This window comes from Homo sapiens, chromosome 3 (assembly GCF_000001405.40).
Source record: "Homo sapiens chromosome 3, GRCh38.p14 Primary Assembly".
In the NCBI taxonomy this organism is placed as follows: Eukaryota; Metazoa; Chordata; class Mammalia; order Primates; family Hominidae; genus Homo; species Homo sapiens.
In genome coordinates, this window is record NC_000003.12 from 124,909,114 (window position 1) to 124,935,990 (window position 26,877).

The 26,877-nt window shown below is 43.7% G+C and overlaps 1 protein-coding gene across 1 annotated transcript in view; it reads right to left on the bottom strand.

Annotated features, from left to right (window-relative positions):
- Nucleotides 1–25,638, bottom strand: part of MUC13 (mucin 13, cell surface associated) — a 29,310-nt gene extending 3,672 nt beyond the window's left edge. Inside the window, exons 1-10 of the mRNA NM_033049.4 lie at nt 25,548–25,638; nt 18,419–18,880; nt 14,414–14,536; nt 13,084–13,190; nt 11,121–11,176; nt 7,204–7,367; nt 4,449–4,568; nt 3,998–4,127; nt 2,991–3,028; nt 1,302–1,386 (exon numbers count right to left, since the gene is read on the bottom strand). Coding sequence (NP_149038.3) covers nt 1,302–1,386; nt 2,991–3,028; nt 3,998–4,127; nt 4,449–4,568; nt 7,204–7,367; nt 11,121–11,176; nt 13,084–13,190; nt 14,414–14,536; nt 18,419–18,880; nt 25,548–25,599 — 1,337 coding nt within the window. The 5' untranslated portion in view covers nt 25,600–25,638. The remainder of the gene's footprint in view (nt 1–1,301; nt 1,387–2,990; nt 3,029–3,997; nt 4,128–4,448; nt 4,569–7,203; nt 7,368–11,120; nt 11,177–13,083; nt 13,191–14,413; nt 14,537–18,418; nt 18,881–25,547) is intronic.
- Between the last annotated feature and the right edge of the window lie 1,239 nt (nt 25,639–26,877).

Consider the following 26,877-nt stretch of genomic DNA (forward strand, 5'->3'; position numbering starts at 1 on the left):
ACTGCACTCCAGCCTGGGCGACAGACCAAGACTCTGTCTCAAAAAAAAAAAGAGAAAAAACAAGAACAAAATATTGTAGGAACCTAAAATCTGTTTATCCTGTCACATTATAGTGGAAAACTACCTATTTTGCCAAAATATAAGATATGAACTAAATGTTAGAAAACAGTAGCTTTAAAAAATCAAAGTGGATCCCCACTTGGCACATTGAGAATGGGAAAAAGATCACAGCATTTGCCTCCCTGTTAATGGGGGGACTTTAGTCTATCTAAATATTTGTTGAATGAATGAACTCTAGTGCCCCTTCCTTAAGAGAAGAGACCTTAAGGCACCAAGCTAATAGCCATGCAGAGATGACACGTGTGTGCTTGCGTGTGTGTGTGTGTGTGTGTGTGTGTGTGTGTATGTGAGACAGGGTCTTGCTCTGTCACCCAGGCTGGAGTGCAGTGGGGTAATCTTGGCTCACTGCAACCTCTGCCTCCCAGTTCAAGGAATTCTCCTGCCTCAGCCTCCTGAGTAGCAGGATTACAGGGGTGCCACCACCATGCCCGGCTAACGTGATAAACTTTCTTAAAAAAAGTTAAAAAAAAACAACAACCCAGGGGGTTCAGTTGAGGTTGATTTTAGACCATTTGCAGCAGAGTCCTGGACAGGGAAGTGACCTGATGAAAATTGTATTTGACAACTTCAGTGGAGTTAAATATTATTACATTAACAAAGAGTTTTTAATGACATAAGGAAATGGTTGCTATGTCATCTTACGGTGTTAAACCAAAAAAAACCTCAATCCAAAATTTTAAAAACACAAAAGACACAAAATTATGTATATAATATTATTTTAAAAGATAGAAATAAATCTGGAAGGTTATATCTCAAAATGTTAGTTGCCTCAGCATGGTGGGTTTTGTGAGTGATTTTTAAATTCCGCCCCTTTACCCACTTCTCTATTTTCTTGATTTTCTTCCATGGTCCTGCTATTGCCTATATAATAAGAAGACAATTAAGGTAAGGAAAAAAAGTCAGTGGTACTAGAAAGGCCTCTCCTTATCTCCCTTCTCTTGCCCAGGAGAGGATGAGTATGTTTGGAAACTAGAGAGTGTCATGCTGGTGGTCCTGTGCCGCAGGAAAAGGCCACTTCTGGCAGGTGTGATGGCTCATGCCTGTAATCCCAGCACTTTGGGAGGCCAAGGTGGGAGGATGGCTTGAGTTCAGGAGTTCGAGACCAACATGGGCAACATAGTGAGACCCCCCCATCTCTCTATAAAAAAAAAAAATTTAAAAAGGACACTTTCATCCCATACCTTGCTGTGACAATCAATGCAATTATCATGCTGAGAATGACAATGCCAGCGATGGTGCCCACAATAGTGAGGATCAGCTGAAATTCTGAAAGGAAGAAGAAAATAAGAACAGTCTCCAACAAGCTGGCCCCCAACTGTCTACTGCACAGGTTCGTGTATTCCCAGGGACTCCTAGCTGTGAAGACGATCAGGTTCTGGTCTCCAACCCTCCAGGCCAGGTTGGGTAGTTGGCCTATTTCCTTTAGCATTCCCTCCTCACACCTCCTAAACTGTGTCTTCAGAACTCAATTGGAAAGGGCAGCCCTGCCAGACAAAACACTGTAAATACAAAGGATGGTGGCAGGGTCTTCCTGGACTTTGTGGGGAGTGGAGTATCAGCTGAGGGCCACACCTCCCTCCTTACCTCTGCTGCCTTTGCCTGCCCTCCATACCTCACCTTACTGATAAGCTAAGGAAACTAGGTTGGAGTTAAATGTCACTGCTAGAGGAGCCAGCTAATGGCTTGATAATAACATCAATGAGGGAAGAGTCTAGACGTTCATTATCACCCATTCTCCTCTCCTAACTCTGCCCTGGTTGGCACTATTGACACTTGACTGCGGCTATGAGACACAATGTAACAGACACACCAGATTGCAAACACTTCATGTGAAAAAAATGTGAGAGAATTGGTTTATCTTTTTTTATTGATTCCATGTTGAAATGATATTTTGGATATATAGATTAAATAAAATATGTTCTTAAAATCAACCTCATCTGTTTCTTTTTACTTCTAACAATTTACTTGAAATTTCTAAAATTTCAAATGAAATGTGTAGCTCACATAATATTTCTATTGCACAACACTGCTCTAGACCTCTTCGTCTCTTTCTGCTATATGGCTTCCCCAAATGCTGCCTTTAATGTGAATTCATGGGGCCACAGACTGGCAAATCTGGGAAAGACCTCAAAGTTTGTCTGGTCCAAACTTCTCATTTTATAGATGTGGAAATTGAAAGCCCTGAAGAAAGACTTAGCAAATTATTCCTTGCAATAAAATACAGTAGAAATGGAGAATGTCACTCATCACTATCTTCATGGCTGGCAGGAAGGCTGACAGTAATATTTCCTTCATCTTGGAAGACTGATCTTTAGTTCATTATGTAAATTTTAGAATATAAAATAATTGAAAATTTAAAGTTAGTATTGTCTTAATCTGGTGGGGGTGGGGCATGGGAGGGTACAGAATTTGAATTTGCAGCAAAATATCCCAAACCAGTAAATAGCTCTGAGACAAAAGGATTTGAGTATTTAAATGTCTGGTTTCTAGGTCTGCTCTTCTATAACCACCAGAATTTTTGGAATTACTGGTCTTTTATCTCTAGTAGCAGCAGATAATGCATATGTAAGCTAATGCAGGAAATCAACATAATGCTAAGATGCCCTTCTCTGGTCTCAAGCAAGTCCAGAGGTGCCAGCCCACTCCTGGTGCTGAGTTCTGTTATTTTCTATGGCAGAGGGGCTGCTGTTCATAACCTAAGGGTGGGCATGGCATGGCAGGACCCAGAAGGCAAACTGGAGGCAGATGGTCTCTCTCTTTATGAAAGAGGACAGAGACTTTGAAGGACTGGGCAGGATGTTGAATGGGGTCACTATTGATTTCTCAGATGTTTAATAACTTGTTTATAATAGCAAGACTTTCATACTCACTGTCCTTACAGTCGAGTCCACTGTAGCCAAATGCACACCTGAAATACAGTGAGCAATAGGAAACAGTGTTAAAGAGCCCCTGTGGGGAGCATGTCAGAGTTCCCACCCCAATCTCCACCTCTTCCTTTCCATCTTCCTTTTATTCTGTCCTCCCTTGCTTTTTTTCCTCTTTCTTTTGCCTTCCTTACACTCTCATTCTTCCAGGAGACCACCTTCCATGGGGTTCTGGAAGGGTGAGGGGGGTACGCAATCTCATGCAGGCTCATTTGCTACTGACTGAACACTCCATCCTCCGGGCTTCAGGAAGATTCTGCAGTTCAGGCAAAGCTGAACCCAAGAGGCATGGAGGGTAGTGGGACCATCTCAGGCTGTGACGCCACATGGCTCTGCCACTTATTTGTTGCCCTGTGAGCTGGAGGATGTTATTTACAATCAGTTTCAGTTTCCTCACCTGAAAATGGAAATTAAGACATTCCTGACAATGTTGCTGTGTGATAGGTATTACCTAGTGTGTTTCCTGGAGCATAGAGAATGCTCAAAAACTATTGATGATGCTGGGCATGGTGGCTCACGCCTGTAATCCCAGCACTTTGGGAGGCCGAAGCAGGTGGATCATGAGGTCAGGAGTTCAAGACCAGCCTGGCCAAGATGATGAAACCCCGTCTCCACTAAAAATACAAAAATTAGCTGGACAGGGTGGCAGGCACCTGTAATCCCAGCTACTCGGGAGGCTGAGGCAGGAGAATCACTTGAACCTGGGGGGTGGAGGTTGCAGTGAGCCGAGATTGCACCATTGCACTGTAGCCTGGGGGACAGAGTGAGACTCCATCTCAAAAAAAAAAAAAAAAAAAAAAACTATTGATGATGACAATGATGAGGATGCTGTCTCTACCAACCTATGACAGCTTACCAGCTTCCTGACTCAACACCTATATACGTGTTGTAAGGTCTCTCTACTTTGCCTAGCTCCAGCTGTGGCAAGACAAAAACAAAGTTATTTTTCTTACTTTTGGCAGTTCCCATTAGCATCTTCCTGGTAGCCGGGCACGCACGCACACTCAGGGGCCCCACCACTCTTCTTTATTAAGCATTGCTTGTGCTGTGCGTTGCAGGCATCAGGACACTTGAGACTGGAAGCTTCAAAACAGAATGATTTCTGGGTAATTTTCAGAAACAATCTCTTTAACCCCAAAGTCACATGTGACAACATGACAGTGTCTTTCACATTGCTTTTTCTAGGTAAAATGAGATGCTTATTGACTCCACACATGATGTGCCCCCTGTGAAGCTGGACATGGGCTAGCAAAGGTCCCAGCCATGGTCCATATGTCTAAAGTCAGAAGTCAGATCACTCGGACTCTGAAATGCATGTGGAAACTAAAGGAGTGAATTTTTTATGTTGCAAAAGAAGAGAAAGTGATGTTATGAAGAACATTTAGAAGCAGGTGAAACACTTACCAACGCAGAAAGGGCTCTGTGGGTTAGGCCTTTGCAGGTCAGATTTGCAATCGCATGCTAAACCATTGAGGCAGTCATCCGCAGTCTGGTTACAGCCATAATAATCACACCGAAGGGTCACTGAGAAGCACAAATAGTTTAAAAATATATTCAGCATGACAATATGGATAAGGTAATTTGTGAAAATTACCCCACCCCATTGCTGTTATACTTTGCCTTTTAATAAGTTTTGGGGCCAAGTGCAGTGGCTCACAACTGTAATCCCAGCACTTTAGAAGGCCAAGGCAGGAGTATCGTTTGAGCCTAGGAGTTCAAGACCAGCCTGGGCAACACAGTGAAAATATTTAAAAGTTAGCTGGGCATGGTGGCAAGCTCCTGTAGTCCCAGCTACTCAGGAGACTGGAGTGGGAGGATCACTTGAGCCCAGAAGTTCAAGGTTACAGTGAGCCATGATCATGCCACTGCACTCCAACTTGAGCGAGAGTGAGACCTTGTCTCAAAATATAAATAAAAATAAATAAAGAAATAAAAATGGGTTGGAAGGCATTAGGGTTAAAAGATGAGTCTGGGCTGGGTGTGGTGGCTCACGTCTGTAATCTCAGCACTTTGGGAGGCCGAGGCTGGTGGATCACGAGGTCAGAAGTTTGAGACCAGCCTGACCAACATGGTGAAACCCCATCTCTGCTAAAAATACAAAAATTCGCTGGGTGTGGTGGCATGTGCCTGTAATATCAGCTACTCAGGAGGCTGAGGCAGGGGAATTGCTTGAACCTAGGAGGCGGAGGTTGCAGTGAGCCGAGATCGTGCCATTGCACTCCAGCTCTGGGTGACAGAGCAAGAATCCGTCTCGGGGAGAAAAAAAAAAATGATGAGTCTGAGAATGGAGTGGGGGAGAGAATAGGAGTAGGTAGAGTCATATGGCTCCTCTCTACTAAACATCCCAAACTGTAACTGAGCCTCCTTCATCACCTGCCACATGAAAATGCCTCTGATTAAAAGCCTAGAGCAAGAGATTCTACAATTTTGGGCAAAGAAAACAATTTATCTTTGCCACTGAAGCCGGAGAACAGGAAAGTGTTTTCCGGCCAGGTATGGTGGCTCACACCTGTAATCCCAGCACCTTGGGAGGCCAAGGCGGGCAGATCACCTGAGGTCAGGAGTTCGAGACCAGCCCAGCCAAAATGGCGAAAACCGTCTCTACTAAAAATACAAAAATTAGCTGGGCGTGGTGGCACATGCCTATAATCCCAGCTACTCGAGAGGCTGAGGCAGGAGAATCGCTTGAACCCGGGAGTTGGAGGTTGTGGTGAGCCAAGATCATCCCACTGCACTCCAGCCTGGGCAACAGTGTGAGACCCTGACAAACAAATGAACAAACAAAAAAGCAAACACTTAAGAGATGAAGAAAGGAGTCTTAGAAGGAGCAAAAAGAAGGATGAGGGAGGCACGAAGGCGATTAGGAGAATGGTGGATGCGGGCCCAGGAAGAAGGGAACATCTAGAAGGGAAGGATACTAGTGTCAAATGCTATAGAAAAGTCAAATAAGTTGTGGCTCAACAGAGGATTCTGGATTTGGCAACCAGGACTGAGAACCAGCTGCAAACACCTCTTCCCGGGACTGGCCCCAGTGGGTCACCTCTGGGGTGAGGAACTTCTGATGACTGTTATGGTGGGTTGACTGCAGTCATGACATCAATTTACTCACACCTTTCTGTACCCCTTGGGCAGGGCCCTTCCACACTGTGCTTGGTAATGCGAATTGCTTTAGCCAATTGGACAGTTGTAACTGTGATGTAAGCAGAGACTTGAGAAATATTTGTGCATTGAATCTTACCCTCTTGCTGCTCTTGAAATCCTTTGGATGGGTCTGCTGATAAGAGACCATGTGGAGCAGAGACAAACCATTTATACCCAGCAGCTAATGGCAGATGCTTAAGTGAGCCCAGCAGAGATCAATTAAGCCTGGCCCAGATCAGCACACTATCCACTTGAGCCCAGCTCAAATTCAGACCCATAGAATTCTAGGGTTGCAGTAAATAAATGATGGTTGTTTTTGGCCACTACCTTCGTAACACAGCAAACGCAAATTGCTACAGCTACATGGTGGGTTCGTGTGTGTCTAAAGGGGAAAATAGTACGGGTAATGCTTGGTCTTGCTCTATTGCTCAGGCTGGAGTGTGGTGTCGTGATCTCAGCTCACTGCAGCCTCAACCTCCTGGGCTTATGCAATCCTCCCACCTCAGCCTCCCAAGTAGCTGAGACCACAGACCTGCACCACCACACCTGGCTAATTTTTTGTAGAGATGGGATTTTGCCATGTTGCCCAGGCTGGTCTCAAACTCCTGGGCTCAAGGAATCCGCCCATCTCAGCCTTCCAAAGTGTTGGGATTACAGGCATGAGCCACCACACCCAGCCACAGGTAAAATTTTCTGTAATCATTTGGAAATCTTTAACCTGACATAAAGCCCTGTTGTTTCTCCTTTTTCTTTCCCTGCCCAGCAGTGGTTTGTCTGGTCATTTATACCTTCGTAGAGAGGAACACACTGGTCAGTTTGATGACTTGGGACATGGTTGGAAAGAAGCAGAGGGCAAGCGAACAAGAAAAGGGAAGAAGAATTGGATAAAAAGAAATTTAGAGACAGTTGTCAGTTCAATGATGCAGTTCTTGTCTCCTTTTCACATATAATGAAAAGGTTTACAAAAAAGGTAGGTAGGTCTTCAGGTGAACTTTGAATAAAATTATACAATACTTACAATCATAGTTTAGAAAGTTGCTTGAGCTACTTCTAATTGCTTTATTAATTTTCTCAGTCACAGTCTTCTCATTGTCACTTGTGGTTTCTGCCAAAATTGTTACTATTGTTACATTAACAAACTTGTCATCAGCACGCATTTCAGATCTTGGTGACAGAGATGTGCTAAAAATGAGATGAATCTGTCACTTAATGAATTGAACTGAAGAATCAACAAATAATTCTAATCTCCCAGACTCCCGAATCTCCCGGCCCTAGTCCTGACCCGCTGTCCTGTCCCTATGATTCGGACCCACATATGGAGGCCGGGGGCTGCAAAAAGATGGCAATGTACAGGCTTGGAGGTCTCTATTTGATGTGTATTCAGAGGAAACCTATGGTGAAAACAATGTTCTGTTGGAGAAAACTTAGGAAAATTGTGGATAACCATTTTTGGAAAAATTATGAATCACATTTTAAGGATCTAGGAGCCTAGAGCTAACCAGAATTAGAACAAGTAATACCTGAAATGGGAAATTGTCACTTTCTGTAGGACAGCAGCTGTTAAATCTCAGTCTGGTTCTTTGGGAGAGACAGAGGGGCGCGTGTCCCTCCCTCTGCATGGAGAAAGCAGTAACCAGCCATAGAGAGCCTGGATCACTCCCAGAAAGGACCAGGAAGTCAGCAGGCAGTTTCAGAGTGGGAACATGATTGGGCCTGGACACACACGACCCAGAGGAGAACTGAAACAAAGAGGGCCGGGGCTGCGGGAAACATGAGCAAATCCTACCAGCAATATGAAGTGCCTGCCATGAGCAAGACATTGTCACTGTCTCTCTCTCTCTCTCTCTAATCAGCACTGCAGTTCGGAGCCCTAAGCACAGCTGTGCCAAGTTTAATTATTTCATTGTCCAAAATGAATCAAGTGATACAATCACTGAAACAGGGGGAAAAATGACTTTTAAAAACATTCACTATCTGATTTGTCGCTCTGTGCTTTTAAGCCTCAGGATATATTTTTGTTGTCTAAATGTTTTTTTCTATACACCTTTTTGACATTTTTTTTTTTTTGAGACAGGGTCTTGCTCTGTCACCAGGCTGGAGTGCGGTGGTGAGATCACGTCTTACTGCAGCCTAGACCTCCTGGGCTCAGCTTATCCTGCCGCCTCAGTCTCCCAAGTAGCTGGGACCACAGGCACGCGCCACCGTGCCCAGCTAAAATTTCATTTTGACTCTCGAATAAATGCAGAAGCCTGAAAATATAGCCAACCTATTTAAGCAATGTTTGCAGCCACCTTGGGTCCTCAGAACAATCAAGAAAAATCCAAAACATGAATCAAATTCCATTTTTAGGCACAATCATCTCAAAAGGGAGCCCAAAAAATGTAATGGGCTTCAGCATTGTAATTTAATATTTTCTACCATAATTCATTTATGATGGGATTTGGTGGGGCGGGGGCGGGGGCGGGGGAGGCGGCAGGGAGTGGCAGTGGAATGTAATAGGGCAGTGAGAAAGGTGTACTTGATAAAAATTATTCTATATTGGTTGAAATATATGGCATAGCTTTGCACTGGGACTAGGAAAGCAAATGCCATCCATAATTTATTCATTAAAAGAATCTACCAGTTTATACACTAATTCAGGAGAGGCAAGACGTTACACCTGTGAAACGGTTAAAGGGAACATTGGAGCCACTGCACACTTGAGTATAAATGACGAGGGCACTAGGCTTGGAGTTAAGACAGGAGGTCCGGACCCTTGTGGCCCGAGACCAGTCAGCTTCTCCAGGCCCGAGTTTCTTCCTCTGTCCAAAGAGAGGTTTTAAAGAGAGAAATTCTGAGGATCCTTCCAATTCCAACATTGCTATAGTAGGAAAGAGCTTGGGGAGTCAGAGGGGAGAGACAATTTGGGGCTGAAAGAGCTTGGGGAGTCAGAGTGGAGAGATAATTTTGGGCTGGAGCCTAAGAAATGCCTTTCTAGGTGAGCCCCAGGTGCATTTGCCCTGCACTGGCCCCTGAGGTGGGGGAAGTAGTTCCCTCCATGCCTCTGAGCTCACAGGTGAAGGTTTGCCTCCAAACACCCTTGGCTCCCTTTTAGTAACTCCTTAAGAATCAAAGGAGTGCCACAGTTTTGGGGATCCCCCAAATGACCTTGTGGGACCAGCTGTCCATCACACTGCAGGGTCCCATATTCTAGAAAGGAAACAGATGATGTTGAAATCAACTATGTGCCAGGCACTGCATACAGGGAATCTTCCAAATTTTATCTCAGTTACTCCTCACAAGGCTCCAGGGAAGTTGATCAGATTATCCCAATTATACAGAGGCAGTGACAAAGGTTCCGAGAGGTTAGAACACCTGCCTGGTCACTCAGGGACAAAGTGCCAAGGCCAGGATTCAAGTACAGGCTTAGCTAACTCCATTCCAATTTCACCATTCCTGTTTGTATCCAGTCATCCCCTACACATGAACTGGCTATTGTCCACTAAACCAAACCTAATTCCCAGAAACAATTCACAGCCCTCCAGCAGCTGTCCGCTGTACACCTCCAGCTTCAGAGCCACTGTGTTTGGGCCCAGCCTGTCTGTTTGCTGCCAGCCTCCCACCATGAAAACTGTGCCTCTTCACTGCCAACCAGACTTGCCCTTCATTCAAGACCAAGCTAGAAATCCATCACTTTTAAAATACCTCTCTGAAATTTTATACACATACTCTCTCTCTCTCTCTTATTCCACCAAAGATTTTTAAAAGTTTTTATTTAGGCTGGGAGTGGTGGCTCACACCTGTAATCCCAGCACTTTGGGAGGCCGAGGCGGGTGGATCACGAGGTCAGGAGTTCGAGACCAGCCTGGCCAACATGGTGAAACCCCGTCTCTACTAAAAATACAAAAATTAGGCTGGGCGTGGTGGTGCACACCCATAATCCCAGCTACTTGGGAGGCTGAGGAAGGAGAATCGCTTGAACCTGGGAGGTGGAGGTTGCAGTGAGCTGATATCACACCAATGCACTCCAGCCTGCATGACAGGAGTGAGATTCCATCTCAAAAAAAAAAAAAAAATGGTTTTTTTTTTTTTTGTAGAGATGTAATGTCACTATGTTGCTCAGGCTGGTCTTGAACTCCTGGCCTCAAGTGATCCTCCCATTTCAGTCTCCCAAAGTGCTAGGATTACAGATGTGAGCCACCATGTCTGGCCTTCACAAAGGATTTGATATGGCTTATAAGGATAAATACAATAGTAAGACTTAAGATGTAAATGGTGCATTGCTACACGAGGGCTGCTTTTCCTACCTAACTTCATCTGTCTTAGAGCATTCTTTCCTCAGCCTAAGTACGTGTGTATTAATGTGCTCCAGAGGAGGCTGAGATGCAATTGCTAATTTCTTGAGAATCTTCTGCCTCTTTGTTTCCCTAAATAGCACCCAGCACTTGCCATTACATATTGAAGTGCTCAATAAGTGCTTGTTCTCACTGCAGAAAGCTCACCACTGACCCTTCTCTAGCCAGGAGTGTGATTTGGGTGTTCTTGTCCCCCTCACACTTGCCATATGAGGGAAGAGATGATCACGGGCCATTCAGTCTCCCCCCGGCCCACTGGAATGCACATTCCAGAGATTGACTAGATATGGTTTGCAGCCATGGGATCAAGACAAACAAAGAGATCCAGATGATGTCCTGGACCATGTGCACAAGTTGTTGCATAGCCAATCACAGACAGAATTTTGCCTTCCCCAGGCCATGCCCTGCCCAGAGTTGGGGTGACATCAGAGGCAGGGCCAAGGCACACAGTCCCCTTTGCAGTGCTCAGACTGAGACTGACCCTCTCCTCTTAACTTGTGACTTGCCACAGAGGGCCTTAATGTTACATGCAGACCTCAAGAGAAGCTCGGAAGTTAGACAGACACACATCTGCCTCCAAAATTGTCCATAACAAACTTACCTTACAGTAAGAATTACAGTCTGTCCATAAACAGATGTGCCAAATACATCTTTAAACTGTGGAGGAAAACAGATTTAATAACAAGTAAAAAAAATTTTTTTTTCACATTTTCTACAAATCAAATGAGGCAGAAAAAAATAATGCTCTATCTAGCTTTTAACAGGATCCAACTGGGTAGAAAATGGACCCTGGGAGACTTCTTAGGGTCTGAGCTGGGACTGCCCCCACAAAGGCTGCTAAGAGGACCTTGAAGAAAGTAAGTTGTCTCTATTTTCCTAACTCTACTCTAATGGTTGCAAGGGAGTTCTGGTGCATCCCTTCTGGATTACAAATCTCCCAGAAACTATAAGAATGCTTCATCCCCTCACTGGTTCCCCCAGGAACATCAAACCCTGACTGAGATCAAGTATCTAATCTGATCTCTGAAGACCGGGGCATAAGGCCTGTAACTGGAGGGGGCTTTTGTGACACTCACACTCAAAGTCAAGTTTGGGGAAAGTAGTGCTAAGTGACCATTGCTCAGTAAAGCCACATGAAGTTCTTCAGGGGTTCCCTGGAAGTAGGACCACATTGATGTTGCTGTCTTCAATGTACTGAAAACATCCGTGCTGGCACATTTGAAAGCAGATCCAAGATGAGAGGGCAAGTCACTGCCAGCTGGCCCACAGGGCAGAGGTGACATGGCAAAGGGACAGAGCAAACTCTGTGAGACAGCAGCCACAGATCCTATCCTAGCGTTGTCACGTACTGGCTGGCTGTGCAGTCGGAAGCACTAGCTCTCTTTGCACCATCTGTAAAATCATTTCCACGATACATTTTTTACATGTTACCAGTTCTAATAGTGATATAATTTCAAATTGAGAGACATTGTCATGGAATAAGACTTCAGCTTTAAAAAAATGTCTCTCCATCTCTACTTCCTTTTTTTTTTCTCCAGGCAGAGTCTCACTCTGTTGCCCAGGCTGGAGTGCAGTGGCATGATCTTGGGTCACTGCAACCTCCACCTCCTGGGTTCAAGAGATTCTCCTGCCTCAGCCTCCTGAGTAGCTGGGATTACAGGCGCCTGCCACCACGCCTGGCTAAATTTTTGTATTTTTAGTAGAGATGGGGTGTCACCATGTTGGCTAGGCTGGTTTCAAACTCCTGACCTCAAGTAATCTGCCCGCCTCATCCTCCCAAAGTGCTAGGATTACGGACATGAGCCACCATGCCCAGCCTCCACCTCAACTTCTAAGACATATTTAAGGCTAATATTTTTTCCTTTAAAACTGAACTTTGAGCTGTATTGGCTGGACATGCTCTGAGGGTCCTTCCAGAGCTAACATCTGTGGCTGCAGAATGGAAAGACCCTTTCCTTTCATGCTTGCTCACATGTGTGCACTTGCTCACAATAATCTAAATGATGGGAAACTATTGTTCATGCCAACATTTTTGAAAATGGGAAAAATAAGTAACAGATATTCAGATGTAATTCTTCTTCTAGACATTTTTTTAAAAGCCAGACTAGTATGAAAATTTATGCAAATTTGAATATAAAAAAGAAAAACAACATCTTTAAATTTTTTCTCTTTCATTCTGTGGAAATAATTTATTTTAAAACTTCATGATATTTATCTGTCCATTTAAAACTGTGTTAATAGCTTATAAAACAATGGGTATGGTATGGCTGGAGCCAGCTTCTGCAGGCCCTCTGCCATGCCAGGCCAGGTGCCACGCCTCCAGGTGCAAGACCATGGGGTGGTCCAAGGGTCCCAGGGGAGAGGCCTGGGCAATGAAGAAGTGGTGGCACCGGTGGAGGCGCTCAGGACAGCTGCTGTTTACCGACCAGTAAAGGTACATTTCACTGTTTGAACAACTGGTACGATGGTACGAGCGTGAACCACCTGAAGACCAGCTCTACACTCTGCAACTCAGTGTTAGAACAAAGAATGCTTTACAGAAAGGAAAGTTGGAAAATACTTACCAAGCTAGTAATTTCACTATGCAAGTCTTGATAGGCCATGGAATGTTTCTCTTCTGGGTCAAATGTTTCTGATACTGTCACTGAAATCTTCCCAGGGAATACCTTTCCTGAAAGTTAAGCAGAATCTTTCTGTACTATTTGATGAAAAGAGGGTCATTTCCATTTTGTTTTAAAACATAGATTATTTTTTAGAATTCCCAACATTATATAACGACACTACAGGAAATCTGGAAATATTTTAAAAGTTACCCATCATCCTGCCCAACCTAGCACAACCATTTTAATTTTGGTATATTTCTTTCCATTTACAGTTTACATTGTTGTAATTCCAAGTTTATGCCATATTTTTTTTCTTCTTATTATATAATAGGTATTTTCCAAATCGTTGCCTAGTCTTTTTTTTTTTTTTTTTTTTTGAGAGAGAGAGACAGATAGGGTCTTGCTCTATCACCCAGGCTGGAGTGCAGTGGCACAACTGGGTCACTGCAGGCTTGAACTCCTGGGCTCAAGTGATCCTCCTGCCTTGGCCTCCCAAAGTGCTGGGATTACAGGTGTGAGCTCCTATGCCTGGTCTCATAACCATCATTTTTAAAGGTTGCATAATATTCTGTGAAGTACATGTCCCCTTCCTTGATGTAATCATTTTTTGTTATTGGACTTAGTGCTTTTAATTATTTAAAAGGAAAAGAAAAAGTTGCAATGAACATCTTCACACACAAACTGTTCTTCTGTATTTGGGGTCACTTACTTAGAGTAAATCCCCAGGAGTGAGATTATTAGTGCTAAAAATATGAGCATTTGGGGGCCTTTTGGTATATCCCTAACCCCAGTGGGCAATGCAATGCATTCATTTCTTATAGAATTGGCTGCTCTGGAAAATGAAGATATTTCTCATTCATAAAACAGAAAAAAAAAAAAAACAGAACTCAGACAGTCAGCCCTCAGACCTTCACTGCACCCTGGTGATCTAATCAAAACATCATTATGCCACAAGTGTATAAATGTACTCCTGAAATCCATTTTTAGAGCTGAAGGGCTCTTATGTCTCTAAGAGGGGGATCTGATGTTATGGAGCAAACAAATCTTGTGACACAGAACTGAAGATCAGGCTCCCAGGGTTGCTGGACTGTGTGGTCTTTGATAGATCACCTTGTTCTGCCTCAGTGTCCCTAGGTAACAGCACTTTTCTCTACTTTGCTGGCCTTTGTTGCCTCTGCATTTTCTTTATCTCTCATATTTTGGAATCTCCTTTTGCCATCATTTTGAGTTTTCGATTCCACTTTTGGTGTGAGATACAGAGCTCAGCCATGGCTCATCCCTTGTAACTCACCTTTCTTACATGTAGAAGAGTTGTAGTAATACCCTTCTAAACACAGGCAAAAACTTGTATTATGCAGCTTAACACATAACGAATTATCTGCACAGGGATCATCTTGGCAAGGATTGCTGGGACCTTAGATGGAGTAGAAAGAGATTAGAAATCCAGAGAAATGACAATAAATAACAACTGGAAACGTATTTTTCCATCTTCATGCCTCCCCCCTGGGCCCTTTCCATTCCTTGCTTGTGTTACTCCACAGCACACTTTTGGAAGAGTTAAAAACAAATATTTGCTTGCTTAGGTCTCTAGAGAGTTTGTTTCTGAAATTCTAGAGCCAAGTATAATACTTGTCAATAGTAAAGATCAGAGATTAGTGTACAAGGGCTTGCCCAAAGAAAGAGAGATTGCAGTCTTCTGACTCCAAGGAGTCAGGAATCTTCAGATCTCAAAGTCCCTCCAGAACCTTGAAGCATGGTCCTCTAACACTAGGTGGGGCTCCCCAAAACATTCTAGATAAAACATCTTATTTTTAGAAAGGTATGAATAATTGTCATATAGGAAGAAACAGCCAAGAAGCTCCAAAAGAAACTAGATGTCACATTCTGTTAGGCATACCTAGGAGACATAGCCATAAAAACAGGAATGGGATAGTAAAGGAGAGAAATGTGGATTAACTCAGTGAAAATTCTAAGAGGCCATGAGAAGACATTCCAGCCTCTGGCTTTCTAAGTGGATCATCTGAATAAATGGTGAAAATAACACTGCAATGGGTTCTACACTGTGGGCTGAGACTCCCAGGCCAGGCAGGGTGTAGCATCTTTCTTTCTCTGGGGAACTGATGAGATCTGAGGAGGAGAGTTAGCTCAGTGGTCCAGTGGTGATCTGGGCTATGAGTTTTCTTCACTTCTGTCAAGTGGAATGATTCTGAGCTGTGATGTCAGAATAGCTTATGTGTTTGATAACCTTCAGAGCTGTCTTGAGAGTCTTACAAACCTATATGTAGAAACCACTGATTTCTTTAAAAGCTGTATGTAAGGTACAATGTGTATAACATGCTCTCTTTTGTGAATAAAAGAAGGGAAGGATTATACACAAGCAAATATTTGCTTATATTTGCATAGGTAATTTCAGGAGGGAGATACAAGGAATTGGGCACAGAAGTTGCCTCTGGGGAAGGAAACTGGGGGTCTGGGTCCTGGGGGTTTAGGATGAGAGGGAGATTTATTTTTTATTGTACATGATTTTGCCCTGTTTGAGCTGTTTTTTCCATAATTATAGGCCTAATTTACTTTTATTAAAAAATAAAAAGTAAAATAATGCTGGTGAGAATATGGGGCAATGGGAACTCTCATTCATTGGTGGGAATGCAAAATGACACAGCCACTTTGAGAGGAAAGTTTGGTGGTTTCTTACAAAAATAAACATACTCTTACGAGAAGATCTGAGAGTCACCCTCCTTGGTATTTAACCAAAGGTGTGGAAAATTTATGTCCACACAAAAGCCTGCACATCCATGTTAATATCAGCTTTGTTCATGAGTGCCACTACTTGGAAGCAACCAAGATACCGTTCAGTAGGTGAATGGATAAACAAACTGGTACATCTAGACAATGGAATATTATTCAGCACTAAAAAATGAGCTATCAAGCCATGAAAAGACATGGAGGAAATGCATGCTACTATGTAAAAGAAGCCAATCTCGAAAGGCTACATAATGTATGATTCCAACTATATGACTTTCTGGAAAAGGCAAAACTGTGGAGACAGTAAAAAGATCTGTGGTTGCCAGGAGTTAGAGGGGAGGATGAAAAGTGCAAAAGATATTTAGGGTTGTGATCCTATAATAGTGGATGCATGCCATTATACATTTATTTGTCCAAATTCATAAAATGCACAGCACCACGAGTGATCTCTAATGTAAACTATGGTCTGTAGGTGATAATGATGTGTCACTGGAGGTTTATCAATTGTAATAAACACACTGCTCTGGTGGGGGATGTTGATAATATATGTGTCAGGCCAGGGAGTATATGGGAAACCTCTGTACCTTTCTCTAAATCTTGCTGTGAGTCTAAAACTGCTCTAAAAATAAAGTTCATTAACATTATATTTTTGAGACAGGGCCTTGCTCTGTTGCCCAGCCTGGAGTGCACTGACACAATCTTGGCTGGCTGCAACCTCTGCCTCCCAGGCTTGAGTGATACTCCCACTTCAGCCTCCTGAGTAGCTGAGACTACAGGTGCATGCTACCACACCTGGCTAATTTTTGTATTTTTCTGTAGAGATGGGGTTTTGCCATGTTTCCCAGGCTGGTCTTGAACTCCTCAGCTCAAGCAATTCACCCACCTCAGCCTCCCAAAGTGCTGGGATTACAGGCGTGAGCCACCATGCTCGGCTTCCATTAACAATTTTTTAAAGAGAAAAAAAATAGACTATATGGGATAAAAGGAGGCATAGTTCAGTATCTTATAAACAAAAATAAGCGTCACCCCTCTGACAAAGTATGAACCAGTCTTCTAAATAAAATTAATGGCTTCTTTAAGAAAAGCCTCAGCCACCTTGCAAAGATGACTTGGGAAATCTTAAGGAAGAATGTGTCTCCTTCTGGAGACACCAGACAAACAACTCTGAGGTGCTTTCTCTTCAGCAACGAAGGACAGACTCATTAACTTGTTTCATGGCCAGGAATTGATTAAGTCACAGGATGTTACAGCCAGAAGAGATTTGGGGGGCTTTTTAGTTCAGTCTCGCCTTATTGCAGATCACTAAGTTGAAGCCAAGAGAGAAATGACTTGCCCCATGCCCCACAGTTTGTTCATGGTAGGGCCAGAACACAGGAAGATGGCCTGACTCTGAGGGAACACCTGGCGAAGCAGAAATGGCTTAGAAAACCTCTCTTTCCTGATCCCAGGACAGCTGTGTCCCATTGGATCCCGCCTTCAGAGTGGCCCCTCCAAACATGAAAGATTGGGGAAAGAGGTCTTAGATACAGCCTCTGGGGTCTACTTGCTTAACCATCTATTTCTTAAATCTATCAAAGAACATTGAGGAAGCTACCAGAAGTTAAGGGTAGGGAGACATCCACTTGATCTTTGACCCTGGGTGAGTCATGGCCCTCACTGGGTCCCAGATTTCCCATCTGAGAATGATAGGATTTATCTAGATTCTTTAGGCTCTAAAGTGTGACGATTCTTCTAGATCAAGGGCTGGCAAACTATGGTTCACGAGTCATATCTGACCAACCTTTTGTTTGTTAACTGTGGCTGCTTTCATGTTAAAATAGTAGAGTGCAGGAGTTACAACAGAGACCCCACATGGCCCACAAGGCCATTTAGCCTTTACTGATAAACGTAGTTGATTTCTGTTATAGGCTGAGCTTGGGGAAGTGAAGCAAATGGTTCCTGTTTCATTAACTTCTGCTTGAGGTCACTTGTCATCTCTTAGTGTTCCCAAAGCATCTGTCCTTTGGACAATGGCCCTGGTTATGCCTAGGATTGTTTGAACACTGCTGTTGTTTTGCTTTCTACCCCTCAGTCTCAAATTCTATGACTTGGCTCAAGTTCCACATTGTGATCAGCCACCATCTTACAAGGGTAGAACTGACTTCTTCCTTAGGTAGACCAGAGAGCTAGACCAGTGGTGCTGGACAGTCTGTGCTTATTTGGACCTGGTCTTCTCAGAGCAGCTGAAACTATTTCTAAAAATCCCCTAGGGAGAGGAAAGCTATAGAGCTACCTTTCACAAAGCCCAAGTTCATTAAAAAAAATACTGCACAGCTAGCAAATAACTTGAGGTAGGATGGGAGGGAAGGAAAGGAGAACAGAAGGAAACTGAGGATTTTAGGGCCTCTGCTGTCACTACATTGTGACACAGATTTCAAGCCCACAGTTCATTTCCAAAGAAACCTTGGGCCTCTTTAGACCCATTTTCCTACCCCACCAGAACATACCCACCTCCCTCCCTCCACAATTGTACTCTCCATCCTTGGGGAGTCTTTGAGGGAATTGTCCTTACCTGTGCTGTTTAGGGTGCTGGTCTCCAATAAAGCGGTGCCAGTGGGAGGCCCTGATGATTGATTGTCTTCTGTGGTGGGGGACATTTCATTGTTACTTTGTGTTTCAGAAGGAACCATTGTGATTAATCCATCATTTGGAGATGAAGCGGTGATTATGTCAGAGGTAGCTAATGAATTTACATTTGTGGTTGACTCACTGTCTGCAGCAGTAGGTATAGGAATTGTGGAGGAACTATGTGTACTAATTATGGGGGGAGCAGGTGTAGGAATTGTGGAGGAACTATGTGTACTAATTATGGGGGGAGCAGGTGAAGTAGCTGTTGGGAAAGAAGGTGTATTTGCTGTGGTGCTAGCAGTTTCAGGGAAATTAGTTTCAGTGGTATCAGCTGCAGCTACTGTAGGACCACTAGTCGCAGTTTCTGTGGTTGTTACAGCATCAGCTGAGTTGCCTTGGTTGGTGGCTGGAGGAACAAAGATACCAAGTTTGAGGAGACAGTACATTGAATAACTAATGGCAGTTACTTAATACTAAATCATATCCAACTCATTCTTTTTTTTTTTTTTTTAGAGGTAGGGTTTCCCCAAGTTGCCTAGATTGGTCATAAACCCCTGGGCTCAAGCAGTCCACCCTCCTTGGCCTCCCAAAGTGCTGAGATTATAGGTATGAAGTGCCATGCCCAGCCTCAACTCATTCTTTTCTGGAAAAATGAAAATATATGACTACATTAAAAATTAAAATACATGGTTATTTCTAAACACAAAAAACCCACAATAAATAACATTAAAAATTAAACAGACAAAACTGGAAAAAATGTTATTGAAAAATGTGACAAATAAAGAGTTAATGTTTATTTATTTATTTTAGGAATAAGGTCTTGCTCTGCCACCCAGGCTGGAGTGCAGTAGTGTGATCATAGTTCACTGCAGCCTTGAGCTCCTAGGCTCAAGCAATCCTCCCACCTCAGCCTCCCAAATAGCTAGGACTACAGTTGTAACACCTCCATGGCTGGCTAATTTTTTTGTGTGTTTTAGAGATGAGGGTCTCACTATGCTGGCTAGGCTGGTCTCTTAACTCCTGGCCTCAAATGATCCTCCTGCCTCAGCCTCCCAAAGTGCTGGGATTGCAGATGTGACCCACCAGTCCCGCAGAAGAGTTAATGTTTTTTAAGTTGAATACTAAGAAGTAATATTATTTATGCCTGTAGTCACGTAACTGTAGATCAGGGTTTAATATACTTCAGACCATTCTCAGTGAGGACAATTGAGAATGCCACAAGGTGGCGCAGTGACTACCCAGAAATGGACTACTTTTGTCTTTCTGCACTTTAAGGCAACTGTCCCATTTTTTCATTACCTTGATAGATTGAGGGAGGGAAAGGTTAGGGTTGGGTAATTTAAAGAATAATAAAATAAAAATACCTCATTAAGTGCTTATTATACTTCTTCCAAAATTTTATTCTAGTAGTGTTTTCCCATTCACAATTCTAGATACATTGACTAAGAGTAAGATGAATAAGTGATCTTTGCCCTCTGAGCTATGATGGATATCAAAGTCGCATTTTCACAACTTTTAGGAACCCCTGGACACATGGAGTAGTAAACTCTAGGGATCCAGTGATCCATTTTCTTCCCCCACTCTTTTATTTTATTTTTTTTTTTTAGAGACATGGTCTTGTTCTGTCACACATGCTGGAGTGCAGTGGTGCCATAATAGCTCACTGCAGCGCTGAAACTCCTGGGCTCAAGTGATCCTCCCACCTTGGCCGCCCAAGTGTTAGGATAACAGGTGTAAGCCACCTTGCCTGGCCCAGTGATAAGTTTTCTAGAACTTTTCCTTGTCTCTAAGAACTCTGACCTTGACAATAGGTTAAAAAAATTATTGAAAGAAAAAGGTTTAGTGAGGAAGCAATTTCTAAACCTTAGGGTGCAGAGAACTGCAGAATATGCTTCCTGATTCCCCGATGGGTCTATGAGCCCCTTGAGGGCAGAGCCTGATTCTTCACCTTGAAGAGGGCTTGGCTAACATAGCCATTCAGAAGTGTTGAAGAGATCAGCAATTGCTCTTCCTAGGTAAGAAATACATCAGCAACTGGCAATGTTGACTGCCAGTCTTCCTATTCCTGCCACTCAGGATAGTTCTCATCTATCAAGCACTGGCCCTGTGCCCGACTGTACCTGTGAAGTAGACATAAGTGCCCACATTTGACAGAAGAGCCCACCAATACTCAGAAGGGTTAAGGAATTTGCCCAGAGGCAAAGCCAGGTCTGTGAGATGACAATGTCCTAACTATCACTTGATTAAAGTTATGGGGAAGGCCATCCATTTAATGAAAAAGCCAAGACCCCCGAGGAACAAACACAAGAAAAGCAAATAGAGAAAATTGGGGATCAGAATGAAAGCGGTGGAAATAGAAGTGACCTCCACGGTGCCCTCTATCATCGGAGTAGCAGTGAGAGTGGCCAGGGGCTGGCTCTCGCTGTGGAAAACTCTGGACAGAAGAAAAGGACTTGGCAGACTGTGGGTGCAAACAACCCCAACCCCACCAGACCCTGAATTTCATGCTTTGGGAATATTCATTCTCGGCCGATGCCAAAGAACCAACATGTTTCTGTAGATGTGCATAAAACAAATTGGGACTTCTTGAGAGGTTTTTGCAGGTCTTTGGAATTATGACAAGGAGTTTTGGACTTGGTGGCTTGTTTATTTTGGTTTTAAATTTCTGTTCACTAGGGAGAATACATTTCAGAATGCTCAATTAGTTTTAATAAATGAGACACATTCCAAGCTGACAGCAATTCATTGCTGTGAATAGCTACGATTTTTTTTTAAACTAAAATACACTTGTGTGTGTCTATGTGTATATATGTGTTTTATCTGAGGGTTGTATAGATTTCAGGGAAGACAGCTTAGAGCTGATATCCCAGGCTTAAATTATCTAGTAAAAATACCCAAGAGGAACTGTAAAATAACCTATTTTGTTCAATCTATAGATAACAGAAATATATGAAGACATCTGTGCAGTAGAAATAACTTTAGTCTTTTTATTTCCTTAGGTCCTAAAGCTTCTAAATAACACAAGGATAGCACAACGTCCACAGAGGTACAAATCATAGGTTTCAATGGGAAAATATATGCCCTGACCTGGTTTCTTTCTGGGGAACACTCCATAATCACCACCCCTGTCCAGGGCACACCTATAACTGCTTTATTCAAAGCTAGCTGAAAGTCACAATCAAACGCCTTTCTCCCAGATCTGAATTCTTCATTATGATGAGATGTTGGTTCCCAAAGGCACTCATCAGATTCTGTGGAATAATGCAGTCCTAGTCTCTCAGAGAAAGCAAAAACAACCTGGGAAGTTTTGCCTGTTAAAGGCTCTTCAAATGTCACTGGCACATTTTTCATTTGTTTCAGTAAATGCTTGTGCGGGGGTTCTTGCAGTCAAGGTGCTATACAAGGCATAGGGGTGAGGAGGAACGTAAAGGTGTACAAGACACACTTCCTGCCCTTGGTTGCTCAGAATCTGAGATGGAACTCATGTTTGAAGTAGTGATTCCTTACACACACCTCCAAAATCCTTAACGTTACATTAAAAAGCAACTTTTTAAAAATTTTCAGGCCAGGAGCGGTGGCTCATGTCTGTAATCCCGGCACTTCGGGAGGCTGAGGTGGGTGGATCATGAGATCAAGAGATTGTGACCATCCTGGCCAACATGATGAAACCCTGTCTCTACTAAAAATACAAAAATTATCTGGGCATGGTGGCACACGCCTGTAGTCCCAACTACTTGGGAGGCTGAGACAGGAGAATTGGTTGAACCCAGGAGGCAGAGGTTGCAGCGAGCCAAGATCGTGACAACTGCACTCCAGCCTGGCAACAGAGCGAGACTCTGTCTCAAAAAAAAAAAAAAGCAACTTTTTAAAAATTTTCAGGCCAGGCGCGGTGGCTCATGCCTGTAATCCCAGCAGTTTGGGAGGCCGAGGCGGGCAGATCACCTGAGGTCAGGAGTTTGGGATCAGCCTGGCCAACATGATGAAACGCCATCTCTACCAAAAATGCAAAAATTAGCTGGGCGTGGTGGCAGGCACCTATAATCCCAGCCACTCGGGAAACTGAGGCAGGAGAATCACTTGAACCTGGGAGGCAGAGGTTGCAGTGAGCTGAGATAGTGCCATTGCACTCCAGCCTGGGCGACAAGAGCAAAACTCCATCTCAAAAAGTAATATAAGGCCAGGCGCGGTGGCTCACGCCTGTAATCCCAGAACTTTGGGAGGCCAAGGCGGGCGGATCATGAGGTCAGGAGTTCGAGAACAGCCTGGCCAATGTAGTGAAACCCCGTCTCTACTAAAAATACAAAAAAATTAGCCAGGTGTGGTAGTGAGCACCTGTAATCCCAGCTACTTGGGAAGCTGAGGCAGGAGAATTGCTTGAACCTGGCAGGCGGAGGTTGCAGTGAGCCAAGATGGCGCCATTGCACTCCAGCCTGGGCAACAAGAACAAAACTCTGTCTCAAAATAAATAAATAAATAATAAAATAAATATTTTTTTCAAAAGCAAACCTTAGTAGCCACAAAACTGTCAGTATTAATATATCTGGAGGTAGATGGGTGGGAAGTCAGATTGGATGCTCAATTTTTATTTCATATACATCTGTATTGTTTGGATTTGTTACAGTGGGTCTGCATTACTTGTATAACTTTTTTAAACAAAGAAGAGGAAATCAAAACCAAAGTTTGAAAATCAGATCCAGGCTGGGCGTGGTGGCTCACGCCTGTAATCCCAGCACTTTGGGAGGCCAAGGCAGGTGGATCTCCTGAGGTCAAGAGTCTGAGACCAGCCTAGCCAACATGGTGAAACCCCATCTCTACTAAAAATACAAAAATTAGCCAGGTGTGGTGGCAGGTGCCTGTAATCCCAGCTAGTCTGGAGGCTGAGGCAGGAGAATCGCTTGAACCTGGGAGGCGGAGGTTGCAGTAAGCAGAGATCGTGCCATTGCACTCCAGCCTGGGCGACAAGAGTGAAACTCGGTCTCAAAAAAAAAAAAAGAAAGAAAGAAAAGAAAATCAGATCCAAGTGCAGACATGACAAAAAGGGAAATCATTTATTAAGCCCCTATGTGCCAGGCAGTATCCCGGCACATCAGGCTCTTTGTCTCATTTAATCCTCTCAGTCACTCTTCAGTATAGGGATTTCCCCTCTATTGCTACACAGGAAGACACTGAGGGTCAGAGACACCCCACAGCTAATAAGTGGTGGCATGCCATCTGAATCCCTGCTTGCCCTACTTTTGCCCTTCCCCCTGGGTTCTCTGGGTCAAGAAACATCTCCATTCCCCTAAGGTCCCTTGAGCCTCAATGATTCCTGATTCCCTTAACTCTCTATTCATCTCCTTGTCCCCTCCCAGCCAACTTTCCCCTTTCTACCGCCCTTCTATTCTATTTTTAAAAAGTCAAGCCTTTTTTAACAGTGGCTCCTGAAAGTCATACAAGCCTCACCAATTCTTCCTTTGTCCTGAAGGCTTGGACCTAGCATCTGCCCCCAAGGTTGGCAGGAGAGATCTGGTGAGCCCTCCCCTCCTGTGCAGCTAGCCTTCTCCAACCTTCCAGCATTAAGAGCTTGAAACCAGCTCTCAAAAAACTCTAATCCTGATGCCATTCATTCCAGTTCTCTGAAAGGGCTTAATTTCTCTTCATACATCTGCCTTATCAAATACTTTCTTCCTTTCTGCAAGCAGCTTCTAGATTTCAACTCATTGAACCTGAAGGAAATAAAAATATTTCACCCCCAAATATAGCTCCATGATATAATGAGTATTTTAAATTAAAAACTCTTAGAGGTCAACAAGCGCTGTAAGGACTGATCCACCAAAGAAGAACTATTGCTCCTGTTCCCCTCCCTGTTATGTCATTATCCACTACAGGAAAGAAGACCGAGAAGGAAACCACCCCTGAGCTGACCCTTCATCAAGATAAGGACTGTCTCCAAGGATCTTTAAATTCCAAGGAGAATTATCTACAAGTTCATTTTTGTTCCCAGATCCAATTATTCTCCCTAATAATCATTTATTGCCCCTCAACAGAATTCCTCTTCTCCCTTCTTCCATAACTTGTTTTACCAAGATCCAAGCCCCCTTTCTTTCTGTAACCTCAAGATGGTGTATAAGCTTCTATACCTCATCAGGAAGTTGGGTGTTCATGCTGAAGGTTCCTGGGTACACACATTAAATACAGTTGTATGCCTTTTTTCCTATTAGTCCATCTACTTCATGCCAGTGATTTTTCTGCAAAATTTTAGGAAGCCAATTGGCCTCCACAACCCTCACCTCTCAACATACTGCTGACCTCACCCACATGTGGCCCATAGAACCCTTCCTAACTCAGAACAGAGAGTACATGTCTGAAGTCTAATCAACGTGACAATTACTCCCTATGGTTTAGCATTCTCAAATTCAAGTACATTTGTGAAAGGAGGCTTTTTGCTGTGGTCAGCTCTCTGATTATCATGAGAGGGGATCCAGAACGCTATAGTAGAGAACTGGGTCCTTGCAACCTACTTAGTCCTTCTTATCTGGCCTCAGGAACTCTCAAAGAGAAACCTCTGGTTTGCTGAGCCCCCAGATCTCACTCCATAGACCACTTCTTCCCCCCACCCCTACAAGATGGAGTCTCGCTCTGTCACTCCGTGTCATCTCAGCTCACTGCAACCTCCACTTCCCGAGTTCAAGCGATTCTTTCTGCCTCAGCCTCCTGAGTAGCTGAGACTACAGGTGCCCACCGCCACACCTGGCTAATTTTTTTGTATTTTTAGTAGAGATGGAGTTTCACCATGTTGGCCAGGGTGGTTTCAAACTCCTGACCTCAAGTGATCCATCTGCCTCGGCCTCCCATATTGCTGAGATTACAGGCGTGAGCCACCGCGCCCAGCCCACAGACCACTTTTGCTATTGCTCTATCTTCCCCATCACAGGATAAAATGTCTGTGTCTTTGAGCTGAGCTGGAGAGGAAACTTCATTTATAAAATAGACCATGTGCTGGGCTGGGAGAATTGGTAGCTATAGGCCTGCTGATTCTACCTCAAAGACAACATACATGATTGGAAGAATTAAAATGTAAAAATATTCCTTACCTGTGTTTACAGAAAGGAGAGCAAGAAGAGTAAGATGAATGATGGCTTTCATTTTAGCTGTTCTTGCTTGGTAATCTGAGGAGGAAATGATTTCCCTTCCTGGCTACCTTTCGTTTTAACTGTCTTTCGGGTACAAAGTCCAGTCATTAATTGACGTCAAACCACAGAAAGGCAATTATAGCTAGCATTTGGCCAAATACCATAGATCTCTTCCGAGCTTTTGAGATAGAAGAGGTGGAGCTGGCCTTACGAATCATTTTTCTGACTCAAAGCCCAAAATAAGTCAGGACATTCCAAATATCCTTGTGAGGTTGGTGGCACATGAGTTTGGTTAATCTCTTGATATCTCAAATGTCTCCAAGCCGCCATCTTTTAGGAGGTCACCATTCCATTAAACATTCAATAACAAACTGTGCTCTACTCACCCACATATGAGTGCAGGAAACCACTTTCCTCCAGCTGTAGTTCTGAGAATCCCTGAAGAGGACTTACATGTTTCCCAAAATTATTAGTTGCTTAACTTTTGTCACTGTATGCTGGGGACTACCATTCCGGGCCTCTCTGATGGTCATGTCTAGCAACTTTGTAATCACATCTCCAAGCTTCTGTGACTCTACCTGGATACAGCCCCCAATAAAGTTCCCAAGCACAATGGACATCACATCATGGCATTTAACCTAACTTTACTGAAGTCTTGTGGGTGACTGGTGTGTTGGGGAGTTGGCAATAAAGTACAGAAAAGAGAAAACTTAGAACAGCTGATTTGATCTCTCTGCTCCTGGCCACTCATTGGGCAGGCCCCACTTCTCAGTTCCCTTTCTCACCCTCTCTCTAGTTCCTCAGCCCCTCACCTCTCACCATGTGTCAGGAACCAGCTTTACTGCTTGGATTTGGGTCTTCTTAATCTAATTTTCCCTCCTTAAAGTCCAGGGCCCCAACTCTACTGTGTCTAGCCCCAGCCAGAGGAATATAAACTAATGATACCTTGTGAGTTGTGGCTAGAGTTTTGAGTTTAAGTTTTTTTTTTTTTTTTTTTTTTTTTTTGAGACAGAGTCTCACTCTGTCGCCCAGGCTGAAGTGCAGTGGCACGATCTCAGCTCACTGCAACCTCTGCCTCCAGGGCTCAAGTGATCCTCCTGCCTCAGTCACCCAAGTAGCTGGGATTACAGGCATACACCACAATGCTTGGCTGATTTTTGTATTTTCAGAAGAGATGGGGTTTTGTCATGTTGTCCAGGCTGGTCTCAAACTCTTAGACTCAAGCAATCCCCAACCACAGCCTCCCAAAGTGCTGTGATTACAAGCGTGTGCCACCATACCTGGCCTTTGG